This window comes from Homo sapiens, chromosome 9 (assembly GCF_000001405.40).
Source record: "Homo sapiens chromosome 9, GRCh38.p14 Primary Assembly".
Lineage (NCBI taxonomy): Eukaryota > Metazoa > Chordata > Mammalia > Primates > Hominidae > Homo > Homo sapiens.
In genome coordinates this window covers 134047723-134062546 of record NC_000009.12, presented here as the reverse complement: position 1 = coordinate 134062546, position 14824 = coordinate 134047723, and the positions used below count along the sequence as shown (strand labels likewise).

At 61.1% G+C, this 14824-nt stretch overlaps 1 protein-coding gene and 1 long non-coding RNA gene across 9 annotated transcripts in view, besides 4 other annotated features; one reads left to right on the top strand and one right to left on the bottom strand.

The window, feature by feature from the left end:
• Positions 1-14824, top strand: part of BRD3 (bromodomain containing 3) — a 38244-nt gene that overhangs the window by 6002 nt on the left and 17418 nt on the right. For 6 of the 8 annotated variants that reach the window (XM_047423906.1, XM_047423903.1, XM_047423905.1 and 3 more), the window contains exons 2-6: positions 8957-9282; positions 10104-10241; positions 10838-10985; positions 11959-12173; positions 14093-14464. In XM_047423906.1, coding sequence (XP_047279862.1) covers positions 9070-9282; positions 10104-10241; positions 10838-10985; positions 11959-12173; positions 14093-14464 — 1086 coding nt within the window. In that variant the 5' untranslated portion in view covers positions 8957-9069. Of the gene's footprint in view, positions 1-5317; positions 7994-8398; positions 8833-8956; positions 9283-10103; positions 10242-10837; positions 10986-11958; positions 12174-14092; positions 14465-14824 lie in introns of those variants that run through there. The other 2 variants (XM_047423904.1, XM_011519052.3) reach the window with 2 other exon arrangements.
• Positions 2139-2318: an enhancer, noted in NCBI's record as "active region_29269". NCBI's record gives its function as "activates an Ori minimal core promoter by ATAC-STARR-seq in GM12878 lymphoblastoid cells {active_cell/tissue: GM12878}" and the evidence as "EXISTENCE:reporter gene assay evidence [ECO:0000049][PMID:35858748]".
• Positions 2139-2934: a biological region, named in NCBI's record as "H3K4me1 hESC enhancer GRCh37_chr9:136924735-136925476".
• Positions 2193-2934: an enhancer, noted in NCBI's record as "H3K4me1 hESC enhancer chr9:136924735-136925476 (GRCh37/hg19 assembly coordinates)". NCBI's record gives its function as "activates a minimal SCP1, AML or CMV promoter by ChIP-STARR-seq in primed H9 embryonic stem cells {active_cell/tissue: H9 hESC(primed)}" and the evidence as "EXISTENCE:reporter gene assay evidence [ECO:0000049][PMID:30033119]".
• Positions 2339-2388: an enhancer, noted in NCBI's record as "active region_29268". NCBI's record gives its function as "activates an Ori minimal core promoter by ATAC-STARR-seq in GM12878 lymphoblastoid cells {active_cell/tissue: GM12878}" and the evidence as "EXISTENCE:reporter gene assay evidence [ECO:0000049][PMID:35858748]".
• LOC100130548 (uncharacterized) lies at positions 3742-8257 on the bottom strand. Its single transcript, NR_135126.1, has 3 exons — positions 8055-8257; positions 5833-5897; positions 3742-5585 (listed from the first exon to the last, which is right to left on the bottom strand). It is a non-coding gene; the product is annotated as an uncharacterized LOC100130548 (long non-coding RNA).

Here is a 14824-nt window from a genome sequence, read left to right as displayed (position 1 = left end):
GGGAAACCTTCAGAGAGGCCGCTCACCCAGGGCCGTGGGGCCATGGAGAAGCACAGGCCCTGGGTTCAGAAAGCAGGAGGCATATGAGGTCTTAGGTCTAGAAGGCACTGGTGGGTGCAGAGTGGGGAGAACTGTGGGGTGCAGGGGACAGTCACGGGAGAGGCAGCGCTGGCAGCTGCACCTGCCCAGCGTGTCTGGGGCCATGCCCCAGGATAGCCCCACCAGTCTGCTGAAGCGCCCCGGGACAGGGCTGGGCCTGTAGAGCCGGGCCCTCCAGGCGGCCAGGCAGCTGCAGGAGAGCAGGTGCGCTGTGCATGGGGGGCTCACAGCACTGGGCAGATTCCCCTGGGGAGTAGGCGCCAGGGCTGGCCGTGCCTGCTTGGGTGGGGCCCACGATGCCCAGCTGCCCTCCCCAGGGCTCCTCCAGGGCTACAGGGGGCCCCCAACCCCCGACTTCTCCCCTGGCTCCATAGAAGGAAGCAGTTGGCTCCGTCTGTCACTGAAGGCAGCCCTGCCCTGACAGATCCAGTTTCCCGAGTCCTGGAGGGTGGCCGCTGGTCACCACGTGGGCTGGGGAGGCCCCTCTGGCCGCCTGGGGACAGGTGCTAGGTTGGCCGGGTTAGATGGGGCTGTGGGGGCAGCAGGCTGGGATCCCTTCTCACAGACTCAGCTCCCTCCTGCCACAGCCGATCACAGCACTGCTCCCAGCATTATCCCGAGAATTCTGGGGCTGTGGGGTGTTGGCGGTGAGTCTGGCATGGATGTCCAGCTTTGTTCAAGCTGGCTCTGGCCTTCTCTGCCTGGGCGACGTTGTGCCCCTTCACCTCTGAGCGTCCCCTCCACTTATGGAAGATGGGGCTCATCTGACCCCCACTGACGCAGGACAGAGTCCAGGAGACGGGCTGGAGTGCCCCAGTGGGGGCCATCCAGTCAGGGACACAGGTACAGAGGCCCAGAGCTATGGAAATTCCAGGGCTGGAGACCCATGGGGAATGGGGAGCCCCTGGGAAAGGCCTCCCCTAGCTTCCTCCAGCACCCCCACCCTTGGTTCCAGTGCTCCTGTCTCCCACCCTTTAGCTGGCAGGTCTGGTTGAGCCCCTGCAGAGCTATGTAGCCCTGCCCCTCCCTGCCACTGCTCCTCCAGACTCATGCTATAGCTGGAATGGCCTTGGTAAGCTGTCCTCCCAACCCTGCCTGTTTGCTGAAAGCTGGGACTCCCCATCCCTGGACCCCAAATAAGGACTTTTTGCTCTGGGCCCAGGCCAGGCTGGAGATGCCCCCATGGTCCAGCCGCTGCCCCTTGGCTGGTTTGCCCCAGGGTGTGGCATTGGAGGCAGCACCCCTCTGTCCTCCCTCTGTGGAGTGCCTGAAGGCTAGGCTGCTGTGCTGCCCAGGCGACATGCCTGCTCCTGCCCCTCTGGGTCTCTGCTCCCCAAGAGGGCCATGGAATGGCAGGAGGGGTCAGGGAGACTGCTACTGGCATTTCTGGGTGTTTTCTTTGGTGGCAACTGGACAGATTCCCATTCCCTCCCTGTTTGTCCACAGCCCTGAAACAGCCCTGGACTCAGCATCTTTTCTGATGAATTCTGGGCTGGGCCAGCCTAAAGGGGGCTGAATTTCTGCTTTTCATTCAGGTCCTCCTGTGCCCTATGGAGAGGAAGGCAGAGTCCAGGGACCTTGGGAAGGGTTCAGGGGGCCACCCACAGCTTCAGGGCCAGAGGTGGGCCTGCCTGGGGCCACACAGCAAGGGTGAGGATAGGTAGGATTCGGGCCACCTCACCAACATTCCTTCCATGTCCAGCACAGAGCCTCTCTTGGATGGGGCATGAGTGGGACCCAGGAAGGGGGCTAGTCAGTGTTAGGGGAGCCTGGCCACTGCCCTCTCCCCGCTGGCTACTTTGGAAATCTCCATGGCATTCCAGATCGTGTGTGTGTGTGTGTGTGTGTGTGTGTGTGTGTCAGGGTCTTGCTCTGACATCCAGGCTGGAGTGCAGCAGTGCGATCACAGCTGACTGTATCCTCAAACTCCCAGGCTCAAGTGATCCTCCCACCTCAGCCTCCTGAATAGCTGGGATTCTAGGTGCACCACCAGGCCTGGCTAATTTTTTTAAATTTTCGTAGAATCAGGGCCTTACTATGTTGCCCAGGCTGGTCTCGAACTCCTGGTTTCAGGGGATTCTCCTGCCCCTCCCAAGGTGCTGGGGTCACAGGCCTGAGTCACTGCGCATGGCCTGGGTCTTTCTTGAGGATTTCACCAGACCCACTCACTGCTGGGTTTTCGCTTGGCGTTCGAGGACTTTTGTGGTTTGTCTGAGTTTCCTCTCTGGGCAGTTTCGGATCCTCTTGTGTCTAAGGCAGGCTGCCTGCTCACTCCGACTTTTACCCGACTGGCAAGGGTGGCCTCTGCCTCTGTCTCTGCTGGGCCCGGCAGGCAGTGCCTGTGGGCTCTCTAGCATGGGCTTTGTGGGCAGCTGAGTGGGAGACCCGGGGAGGTGGACCCCAGGGAGGGTCTCTGAGCCTCCGCCCCCTCCTCTGGGAGACAGAGCTCCATCCCTGTCCTGCAGTGCCCAGGGGAGAGCAGCAGTGGCACATCTGGCTCCCCAGGCCTGTCCCCCAAGGACCCACCGCTTCCCTGCCATGGTCCCAGGGATGGAGTGCGTTTGCTGAGGACAAGGCTGCTGCTGCTGCTGCGACAGGCTGCTGATGGCCAGGCTGCCTTCCTGAGGGGGCCTTGCCCGCACAGCAAAGAGCCCCCTGGAGCGAGGTGGCTGCCAGCAGGCTGTGTGGGAGCCCCTTCACCACTGGAGGGCTGAGTGGTGAAATGAGTTCTTCCTGCACTGTACATGCTCACAGACCCTTCTCGGTTCACATTTTAGCAGACAGGCTTCCAGCCCCTCCAGTGTCCAGGGTCCCTGTGGTGTGGGGCCCCCCTGTTCCCCAAGAAAAGGAGCAAGGGTTTACCCCCAGGAGACCACACCCCCTTCTGCTGCACATTCCCGCAGGGCAGCTGCGAGGGGTGAAGGAGGGATTGCGGCACGAAGGTTTTGTGTGTCTCGTGTCTAGACTTTAAGGCACTGGGGTCTCTGGCACCGCTGCCTTCCTCCAGCCCGAGTCACTCCACCTGAGTCCATCTGCCCCACCCCTGCCCCACTTCCTCACAGGAGTCCCGTCGGCTTATTCCCCATCGCATGAAGGTGGAGAGTGGGTGCAAGGCAGAACCCTGGACCCCACAGTTGCTGTGAGGACGCAGGATGCAGAGTGTGTGTTGAGGAACGGGGTGCTGGGGGCCCGGGGAGAAGGGAGGTGCACCCTCTTCCCTCTGAGCAGCTTCCGCGGGCGGGGGCAGCTCTGGGCTGGCCCGTTTCTTCCAGACCCCACTCATTTTCACCCCCCACATTATCATGAAGCAGATTCCAGACACATTTCATTCATAGAACTTTCAGTCCAAATCTCTGAAAGATGAGGACTTTTGAAAGATTGTAACCACAACGCCACCATACCCCCAATACTAACTCTGGTTCCGGAAATACAGTCAGTGTTGAATCAGTGCCCCTTGGCTCCTCCAGCAGGCGCTGCCAGCACACCGGCCCAAGGCACAGCCTCCAGTGCCCAGCTTTGCTTCAGATCCAGTGCCACTGCCCCACCAGCTGTGGGGCCCAGGCCACCCCTTCCTGGACTATAAAATGGAGCCCTCTTCGGCCAGCCGCCCACCCTCCCTCTTGGTGACACAGTGGGCTGAGCGAGGGGATACTGGGTTTTTTCTTTTGCAGCAAAATCTGGCCCCCCTTTACAGCTGATACAAGGCTGTCTGTAGTTTGAACCTTTGTGTATCTCTGCAGAATACCGGGTTTGATTTGGGATGTCATCTCAGACCCTGGGGTAGGGGTGTGTGTAGGAGAGACACCTCTACCCCCCGGGAAAAGGCTTCCCTTGCTGGTTTGGCTTTCTGAAATCCAAAAAGTTGACAGTCACTACAGGAGTAGAGGCAGGTGACACGGAGTGGTCAGGCTCTGGCCTGGGGGGGACAGGGATGTAACAGGGGCTGGTCCCTGGTGTCCAGACGTGATCCTTCTGTTTACTTTGTTTCTGGGAGCTGGGAGAAGCGAAGGCCATGTTTGTTTTGGGCAGACATGTTCTGAATGTCCAACACTGCCAGCCACACTCCCAATGTTACCTCTGTTCGTCCACGTGGCACCCTGGAGTGATGCAAGGTCCTCCTCCCTTTGCTGCGGCCCCAGGGGACTTGGGATCTAGGGGCACCTCCTTTTCTCCCCAGCCAAGGGGGCCCATGGTCACACCCAGTTCTAGCCACTGGCTAGGACGTCCCGGCCCCCAGAATGTCCTTGCATGAGTGAAGCTGTGGCCTGCGGGAGGCATGACTCTCATGCCTGCGCATGGGCTGTGGTGGGAAGCACTCGGTAGACGACGGCCTTGCTAAGCTCTCAGCACAAACCATCTCTTCACAGCGAGGTCAGCTGGGGGTGGAGAGCCGGGCTGTGAATCCTGGTGTGCCGACACCGCGGGCGCTCCATGCCTCCCTCTCGCAGGGCCTCTGTGTCGGGTGTGCAGACCCCAGGGGGGCCCCTTACCGCCTTTCTGCATGGGCCTCTGTGTCTGGTGTGTGGACCCCGTGGGGGCCCTGCAATCAGCCCTTTCAGAGTCTCCACTGGACCTTGGGTTCTGGAGGGGCCTTGTGGCTGGCGGCTGGCCCTGCCCTGGGCTGCCTTTGTGTCCTTGCTGGCCGTTGAGGGTGGGGGAAGCAGGAGCGCCTCGTTCTTTAACTTCCCAGGGTCTTCTTGCTGTGTGGCCGCCTGCAGGTTGAGGAGCCTGGGACAGGAAGCCCAGGGTCTTGATCCTGGGCTGTGCCTCCACTGCCGACTGCTGAGTGCTTTGTGTCCCAAAGCCTTTGCGCTCAGGTGGCATTCCGGAGGTGAAGGAGGAAGGGGCCTCAGCTTAGTCGTCCGTACACGTGCGCAATTATTCTGACCTTGCAGGTTTGTTGTGGGGATTGTGGGGTCTCGGCATCGGTGAGCTGAAGGGCTCGTGGCCCTGGCCGACCACCTGTGCTGTTTGTGGTGTTTCTCCACTGTCTGCTCCCACCTCACCTCACCTCACCTCACCTGGCAGAGGAGCCACCGACGTCTGGGCCAGAGGGCTGAGGTGGGGTGAACATGGTGTGAAAGCACCACACTCTGCAACAGGGTGGCTGTCCTGCTTGTGCACCCTCTGGGGCACTCGCAGGCTGGGGTAGGGTGACCCCACCACCGTCCTTCTCTTGTTGGAACCTCCACGTTGATTTGGACCGTAGTCCATCACTGATTTTCAGCTGGCCTGGCCAGTGTCTGTTTCATTGTAATTTCTTTGTGGAAGCCTCAGTTGTCTTTCCCATCTCGGGATGTGGCCCCGAGCTCCCTGCACAGACGTGGAAGGTGCATGGGCTCTGGTCGGGAAGCTGTTTGCCTCATCTCATTTCCGTCGCCCTAGGGGAGGTCTTTCGAGTTGGTCTGCAGGTTGCCCTGGTTCTTTCCAGTGTCTGTGTGGGGCTCTCTTGCACAGACGCCTTCTGGTTTCTTCAGCTTCTCTGTCTGGACAGTTGAGACACTGAGGGTGGCAGAGCCAGGCCCTGGCTGTGGCTCTAGCCTGTCCACCCACTGTGCTTGGAGGGAAGGTGTCTGCAGACGGGACCAGCCCTCGGCCCCAGAGGGGATGACATGGTGTGAATGTGCTGTGGACGGGGACCTGAGGCACTGAGCCCGTCTCAGCCCTCCCTCCCCACTGGGACTCTGGGAACTGCACATTCTCCCACAGGGAGGGGTCACCCCGGGCTCTCACCTGACTGTCGCCTCCTGGTCTCCTCCTGCCCGGCGTGGTCCTTGCCAGGTGGTGGGTCCCAGTACCTGGTAGCGGAGGGGGCTTGAGGGGGATGCCACCCCTTTGCCCTCTGGCTGCCCTCCCTCCCTGCCCCTCCCACTGGCTGGTGCCAGGCTGCCTGGGGGCTCCGCTTCTATGCCAAGGGCTTCTGGGGGAGGCAGGGCCACTTATCATGGCATCGTGTTGTCCTCGAGTTTTTGCAAAATCTGAGTGTGTGGGGTGTAGGTGTCTCAGAGGGCAGGGTTTGTGTTCCAGGAGAGGAGAGGTGAGATCACCATGCCTCACCACCGAGGGTGGGGCAGTCGCCTGCCCGTGTGTGCCAGGGGCTTTTTATACTGCACCCCTCAGCCTTCCAGGTCTTGTTGGGGTTGGTGTGTTTCTGCCAGGTAGCGGAGCTGGAGGCAAACTGCACCCTCAGGGCCTGTAGTGACCACTGGCATTCAGTGAGCACATGCTGGCACCAGGTGCAGCCCCAGAGCTTTAACCACATTGGCCGGGATTTCCCTGGCAGCAGCAAGAGGGCTTCTGGGCTGGGCCTTGGACGGCTCTGCCGTGGCTCGTGGGCTGGTGCCAAGCAGAGCCTGGGGCGCCCCTCCTTCTGCCTTGCTCAAGCTCACAGTCCATGGCCGGGCGGGGCTGCCCTCCCCACCCAGGACGAGGCATGCACTCCGGTGTCCATGGCTGGAGCTGGGCTCCTTCTCAGTCTCCGGTTTGAAACAGTGGTCAGGTGGTTGGAAGTGGGTGGCTTAGAGGGCCTGATCTGGCCAGGCGTGGGATCCTGACGGCAGCATAAGCAGGCCCCCATGTTGAGCTGTGACCGTCCATCCTCATGCTTGGAGGAAGCTGGCCTGCAGCCTGGGAGCCTTCCTTTGTGCCCTGACCACCCCCACATCCCCAAAGGTCAGTTTCAGCCCCATTTCCTGGCTCTGGGCCTGTGCAGCAGCAGTGGATACTGGGAATGTCCCCACCTGACCGACACCTGGGAGCTGACATCTGGGCCCTGGGAGGCAGCAGCAGCACAGCCTGGGCCTTCTGTCAGGGTGCTGCCCGGCAGTCTCAGCGGAGCTGCGTGTGGTGCTTGGTGCCCATAACTGGCGTGAGCTCTCTCTGTGCCTGACTCCTCCACCCTCAGGAGCCTCGTGGGGAAGTGGAAGGACCAGGCCGTGTGGCTGGCCCCAGTGTCTGTGCTGCCTGGGGGCCCAGCAGGAAGGGTGTTCTGGGAGCTACCTGGAGGCCTTGGAAGGGCAGGAGCCTGCTGCTGTCCAGGCCTTGAGGGAGGGCCGCAAGTCACAGGAGACAGGACACAGGTCTCAGGACTCGGTCACCCCAGGCCCCACCAACCAGGGTGGGGCAGGACTCGCTTTCACTCTGAGTCACGTGGAGCCCCTGGGAGGTTTTGAGCAGACCGGTGACTTGATCCGACTTGGTTTTAACAGGATCACCCTGCGGTGCGGGCTAGGCGGTCCTTGCGGGGCAGAGCAGGGAGCCCTGCTGGGAGGGCTTCATGGAAATCCTTGCAAGTGGTGGTGGCGAGGGGCAGTGCTGCCACGCTTTGGCCTGGGGCTGCCCTCCGCACCAGGGTTGCAGCCTGGGGCTGTGAGCACCGGGTCGGTGAGGTGGAGAGGCACCCGCTCACCTCAGGAGGGCATAGAAGAGGGTGGGTGTGAGGGGCTTCCCTGGATGAGGCCCTGGCACAGGTGGGCGCCCCAGAGACGGGGCACGTTCTCTCGTGCTGGCATGCTTGGTGGGTGAGCTGTGTTGCGTGTAGTTTGAAGCCCTTTCCTCTCTGGGGTGGGGTGGGAGGAAGTGAGGTTACACGCAGGGTGCTGACGACATTGAGCATCCAGCTTGGGGAGGGGGTCCTGGTTTGCAGCATTTGCCCATGGCTGTGGTGTAACTGCCCACCGAGGCAGATTTCAGGGGACCAACCAGATGTCACCCAGCTCACAAACTTCCCCTAGTCTTGACTGTCTGCCCCGAGCGTCTACAAGTGGCCGGTTCTGGGGCCGGAGCCGGCTCCTCCCATGGCAGAGCTGCTGCCTGTGCTCCGAGGGGAGCCTCCAGCCGTGACCTGTCTAACTGTCAGTTACACGACTGCAGGAAAGGCCCAAGTGGCAGCAAGGTACGAGGCTGAAGTTGAAGTCCCAGGCGCTGGGTTAGAGCTCCTCGGGTCTGCCCCACACCTTTACAGGTAGACACGGGGCCACGCCGCAGGGCCCTGGCCATGGTTGGAGGCCTGCATGCGTTCTCCACTGTGCAGCGTTCCTATGGGCGTTCTCAACTGTCCGTGCCCTCCTGGGACACGCAGGGTGGCGGTGGCCTCCTCCTGCCAGCCCTGCCTGTGGCTAGCCAGTCGGGGCCAGGGAAGCCCCAGCATCTCGTGTGTGCAGAGCTCCCTGTGGTCAGCTGGGGTGTGGAGGTCGGCAGGGTCTGAGCCGCCGCTCCCGCCTCTCTGATTGGCCGAGAGCCAGGCCGGGTCACAACCACGCCGCCATCACAAACCTGGGCCCGTTCTCCTGGTTACGGTAGAACCTCACTGCTTGGCCTCGCTCAAGGGCACCACCTCCCCGCACCGTGTTTGGGTCTGCAAACGTCCGTGTTGTGCCGGCCCCACTTCCCCTGGCTGTGTTGGGCCCGCACCGTGGCTGTCCACGCATGGGTCACTCTTCAGTACATTGTTGTGGCCAAGCTGTCAGAGCCCAGTAGCAACGAGTCGACCCCACGAGTGGGTGGTTGGTGGGCAGAAGGCTGCCAGTGGCTGAGTCCCTTGGCACACCTGCCTCCCAGTGTGTTCCCCAAGCCCCCACCTGGGAGCAAGTGGCATGTGCCTGAGCTCCCTCCACCGCCCAGGCCTTCCCTCCCGTGCCTGAGAGCAGTGGTTGGAGAGTCGTTCTGAGCTGGTCGCGCTTCGCCTGAGCAGCTTTCCCGACAGCCTCTCACCTGGGTGGCTGGGCAATGGGGGTGAGTGAGTGGAGCAGGCCCTGCTGAGGCCCGACAGGTGCCCTCAGGAGCCCGCCGAGGCTGGGAGAGGTGGGGGTCCCCGGGGTGACTGGCCTTCCTCTCTGTTGTGCTTCCTCCTCTGCAGCTGTCGCCTGGTTGGGCCCGGAAATGGGACGTCGCGCTTTCTCAGGGAGCGTAGAAGCAGCCAGGGCCTCTCCAAGCCGCTGCTGTGACAGAAAGTGAGTGAGCTGCCGGAGGATGTCCACCGCCACGACAGTCGCCCCCGCGGGGATCCCGGCGACCCCGGGCCCTGTGAACCCACCCCCCCCGGAGGTCTCCAACCCCAGCAAGCCCGGCCGCAAGACCAACCAGCTGCAGTACATGCAGAATGTGGTGGTGAAGACGCTCTGGAAACACCAGTTCGCCTGGCCCTTCTACCAGCCCGTGGACGCAATCAAATTGAACCTGCCGGTGCGTAGCTGCTGCCTCCCCAAGAGCCACGTTCTGCTGCTGCCGTCCTCTGTCCCCCTCCTGCTGCCCCCATCCTGGAAAGACTGCCTCTGGCCTTGGGAATTTGCTGCTAAGCTGGGGACAGCCTGTGCCTCAGGAAGTCCACAGCACAGAGGCGCACAGGGGCCACATGGGCGTGGGAGAGTGGAGGGCGGCTGCCCCAGGTGCAGGAAATAGGGAGAAGCCACGCGTGTCCGGGAGGAAAGCGAGTGGGTGGTGATGGGGCTTAGGAGTCGAGGCTCACTGGGGCCTTCTTCTGCCTCACTGGCTCCTGCAGGATGGCCCATCTGCCAGCTTGGTGAGCCCACTTGGAGTTAGAGGCCGAGTGTATGTTGAGGCCTGCTTTCCAGGTGATGGTGCCCTCATCTGCATGCTCATTTTTGACCTGGGCCCAAATAGACAAACCCTGAGCATTGCAGAGGAATCCCTGGGCTGGCACTTGGTGGCCTGGGCTCTGGGCTCTGCTGGGCCCTGGTCACCTGCAGGTTTGGTCCCTGGAAGGTTTGGCCCCATCTCCAGTATGTAGACCTGTCCTGGGGTCTGCCCTAACTCCGTGGGCTCCTCTCTGCACATGCTTGGGGTCTGGAGAGAGGTTGGGCAGGAGTTTGGAGCTGGCCAAGTACTCACGTCACCATAGCCCACTGCCTTCAGAGACCAGAAAGTGCCTCTGGGCCAGCCCCAGTCCTCAGTCCACTTGGGAAGGTCGGGCTGTGTCCACTTGGGAATTGTGAAAATAATTATGTAGAATCTTCTGGTAATGCCTCTGAAAATCTCTTTCCTAGGATTATCATAAAATAATTAAAAACCCAATGGATATGGGGACTATTAAGAAGAGACTAGAAAATAATTATTATTGGAGTGCAAGCGAATGTATGCAGGACTTCAACACCATGTTTACAAATTGTTACATTTATAACAAGGTAAGAAGATGCGGGCCTGGCACGCCGCTTGCAGTAAGGATTGGGGCGCTGTGCAACGCAGTGGGCCTGGGCGCTTTGCAGCAGCTCTTGGGCAGGCCCAAAGCGCTTCACCTGGCTGGGTGCCGTGGCTCACACCTGTAATCCCAGCACTTTGGGAGGCCGAGGTCGGCGGATCACTTGAGCTCAGGAGTTCAAGACCAGCCTGTGCAACATGGTGAAACCCCGTCTCTACTAAAAATACAAAAAAATTAGCCAGGTGTGGTGGCAGGCACCTGTAATCCCAGCTACTCGGAAGGCTAAGGCAGGAGAATCACTTAAACCCGGGAGGTGGAGGTTGCAGTGAGCCGAGATCATGCCACTGCACTCCAGCCTGGGTGACAGAGCAAGACTCCATCTCAAAAAAAAAAAAAAAAAAACAAAAAAAACAACACACACACACACACACACACACACACACATATATTCATTTTGTTCTCTCCTGCGCTGCCAAATCTGTTAACAAATTTTAAATATTTTTTTGAGCTACAACTAATAATGTCCTTTGCAAGCACACAGCTCCTTTCCTGACACGTGACCTGGACTCTCTGTGTCTTCAGCCCACAGATGACATAGTGCTAATGGCCCAAGCTTTAGAGAAAATTTTTCTACAAAAAGTGGCCCAGATGCCCCAAGAGGAAGTTGAATTATTACCCCCTGCTCCAAAGGGCAAAGGTCGGAAGCCGGCTGCGGGAGCCCAGAGCGCAGGTAAAGGGAGCTGGGGCAGGCGAGGGGCTGGGCCTCTCTGCAGAGGCCCACGGGTGGATGGGCTGGGACGCGATCCTTTAGCCATCTGAGCTGTTTCCCATCTGTCGTGACGAGCTCGTGGGTGCCGGGTCTTGGATGAGTGTGGCCTGTGGGTGATGTTGGAGGGGCAGCTGGCCCGGGGATACGGAAGACATTAACGCCATAGCTGGCTGCCTTTGAGCCCACGCTGGGGAGGAGCTCATGGTCTAGGAGGATCACCTGTCCCTGCTCTCCACCTCCCAAATCCTGCTCCCCCTTCCAGCTCCAGCCCTGAGGTCACTTCTTCCACGACGCGTGGGGCCTGTTCCCCTCCTGGGGCTTTGTCTCTTTAGCACTCATTTGATTCTCTGTGACCTGAGAGTCACTATCACCTGCCTGGTTCCCTGGTCAAGTAAGACCGCGTCTTGCTGTCAGGGAGCATGGTGGTGATTAGTGTCGTGAGCCCCAGGATCCCACCTGGCCTGGGAACCCGGCATGCAGGTGTTGTCTGGGTGGAGAGGCTGACTGAGCGGGATGGCCAGGGCCACGGGCCGTCGCGTGTTGCAGATGGGAGAAGCTGGGGGCTTAAGTACGGCCACATCGTTGGTCACTCAGCTTGTTACTTAGGGAACCGAGTTCAGTACCAGCTTTCCATGACTCCAGGGTGGCCCTTGACTGCCAGGCCATGGGACTGCCTTGGCTTCCTCGTTCCGCCTCCTATGGTCTGTGGTGGGGGGCCTCCACTTCATGCAGGGAGCCCTCAGCCAAGATGAGCCAGACCAACCCTGCCCCCAAGATGCAGGATGGGGGGCATCTCAGCATGGAGGGTTCTTCTGGCCGGCGGTCTTGGCAGCACAGAGCTGGTACCCGTGTTCTGGCTGGAGGGGTGGCACTGGAAGCTTCTGGAAATACTAGTGGAGCCTGGTGTGTTGAACATCCCTTCCTTGTCTTGAAGGTACACAGCAAGTGGCGGCCGTGTCCTCTGTCTCCCCAGCGACCCCCTTTCAGAGCGTGCCCCCCACCGTCTCCCAGACGCCCGTCATCGCTGCCACCCCTGTACCAACCATCACTGCAAACGTCACGTCGGTCCCAGTCCCCCCAGCTGCCGCCCCACCTCCTCCTGCCACACCCATCGTCCCCGTGGTCCCTCCTACGCCGCCTGTCGTCAAGGTGAGCACCCTGAGTCCGGATGGGTGGGGCACCTGAGCCCGGCCAGGGTTCCTGAGGTCAGGGCAGGAGCAGCAGGCGGGGGGCCCCCACCTTTCCCTGAGTGCTGGCTCTTGGGAGTGTTTCTCTCTGCGCCCTGGGAGCTCAGGCCGTTGTTACTGACACAGATGAGGAGACCTAGGCCTGGGGAGCTGAAGGTCACACAGCTGGTAAGGGAGGGCCTGGCTGAACTTGAACCCCAGCTTCTCTGGCCAGAAGCCCTGGCCAAAGGCTTGGTCAAGGTGGGGAAGTTGTGGGAGAGAAGCCAGGGTGGGAGGGGTCCCGGTCCTCCCCTGCTCACACTCAGGAGAGTGGTGCCAGCTGTACCTACCTGGGTGCGTTGTGAGGTGCCAGCACCCAAGCTGGCCCCGCCTGTGGGCTCCACATGGGAGCATGGGGACCTGCCTGTCCTGCTCCCCACTTGGCTGGGAGCTTTTCTCAGTGGGCCCTGTTGGTCTTGGCAGGGAGTGGGTGCTCCCTGCAAGATTTGGGGCTGGCGAGGCCTGGTGAGTCTCCTGCTTTGGGCAGGGCCCGTGCCAGGCACTTATGTGTATTATCTTCTTCGATTTGATCCTCACAGCAACCCTCTGGGGCAGACAGTATTTCCCCCATCTTACAGATGAGGAAGCGGGCGCTCAGAGGGGTTAAATGGCTCGCCCAAGGTAAAATGCCACCTCCGTTGCTTCCCCTCCCCGTGGCCTTCACTGCCTGCACTTATGGGTGGCCCCTGGTCAAGCCGCCTCCCCCAGTGGGGGCTGTTTCTGGAGCATGTCCCATTTGCCACGGCCAGACGAGTCTGTCCCCGCTCCTATCCGCCCTGTGCGGCACGCGCCTGGCGCTTGGCAGCACGTGGGTGCCTGCCAAGTGTTTGTGGATAGCCGGCTCCGGCCCCTGCCAGTCTGAGGGCGGCGGCTTGGCTGGGCAGTGACTGTGGGTGGCTCTCTAGACGGCAGGTGCCGTGGGCTGGGAGCCGTGGCTCCCGCTGGCTCCTCTCCCGCTGGGCTAAGATTAGAAGCTGGCTGAGCTGGTCTCAGGGTGCACACTGAGCCCTGGCCCTGGAACGCTGAGGTGATGCCCATGGGTGCTGGGTGCTGAGGCCCTTGCAGGCTGCCCAGAGAGACCTGCACACCCCCAGGAGGCCTGGACGTTAAACATGCGCGTCTGCCTGGTGCCTGGCTCCGTCCCCAGGACACACCCACAGAAGGTTCTGTGGGTCATCTCCCTCCTCTCCTTGCTTGAAATGGCCTTCGGTGGCTCCCACTGCTGCTGGGATGGAGTCCAGACTTGCCCACTCAATCCCTGAGGTCCCTTGTTCCCAGAGCTGCTGTGGCTGCTTCATGCCTCCTGGTTGGGCTGCCCCTTGCCCTGTGTCTGGAATGCTCTCCTGCCTCCCTCTTGTCCCGCAAAACTTGTGTTTGTCCGCGGAGCCCCCGCTCTCAGGCCCTTGTCTGGAACTTTCCTGGAAGCAGGGAGTTCCTCCCAGGTCTCTGCAGCACCGAGGTCCCCGGGTCCTGGTCTGGGTGCTTGTTAGGTGTCTGGCGAATTGCATGCAGCACCTCACATGGCTTGGGGTGTGAGGTGCGAGCCCACCCGGGACCCCTGAGCCCTCGGGGCTAAGGGAGAGAGGTATCTCCCCTCGCCCAGGTGAGGGCGGGTTTCAGAGTTGATCCTGAGGGAGAGTCCCAGCCTCACCACTGCCAGCTGTGTGACCTTGGGCCAGTGACATGGCCCCTGAGCCTTGGTGTCCTCTCCTGTGGGGCCGTGCATGTGGCCGCTTAGCCCAGCGCCAGGCAGGCAGACAGTGCCCCAGAAACGCGGCTGCAGCGACATGCGTCTTCGGGGCCCCTGGTTTCCGGGGTTCACTGGTTATTTCACTGTCGCAGAAAAAGGGCGTGAAGCGGAAAGCAGACACAACCACTCCCACGACGTCGGCCATCACTGCCAGCCGGAGTGAGTCGCCCCCGCCGTTGTCAGACCCCAAGCAGGCCAAAGTGGTGGCCCGGCGGGAGAGTGGTGGCCGCCCCATCAAGCCTCCCAAGAAGGACCTGGAGGACGGCGAGGTGCCCCAGCACGCAGGCAAGAAGGGCAAGCTGTCGGAGCACCTACGCTACTGCGACAGCATCCTCAGGGAGATGCTATCCAAGAAGCACGCGGCCTACGCCTGGCCCTTCTACAAGCCAGTGGATGCCGAGGCCCTGGAGCTGCACGACTACCACGACATCATCAAGCACCCGATGGACCTCAGCACCGTGAAAGTACGTGGCCGCGCGGCAGGCCCTGCTCTGCCCATGTCCTGCGGCTCTGCCGTGGGTGCTGATGTCTTGTGCCGGCTGAGTGGGGGCTGTCGGGGAGCAGGGTCTCGCTTGCCGGAGAAGCGCACCCTCCAGGCTGGCCCCCGCAGCGCCGGCTGTGGCTGGCAAGGCTCAGCGAGGAAGGCGTGCTCTGCCTGTGGGTCCCGGAGTCTGTGGCTCTGTTGTTGTTTATTCCCATCGAACCCGTTTAGTGATTTCATTGATTTCATTCCTACCTCCCATTCTGTATCATCAGGTCAGGGGGTCCCTAGAGCTGGGCCACTCTCACAGTTGGCAAAGTTTTAAAGCTGCACTTTGCTTCCC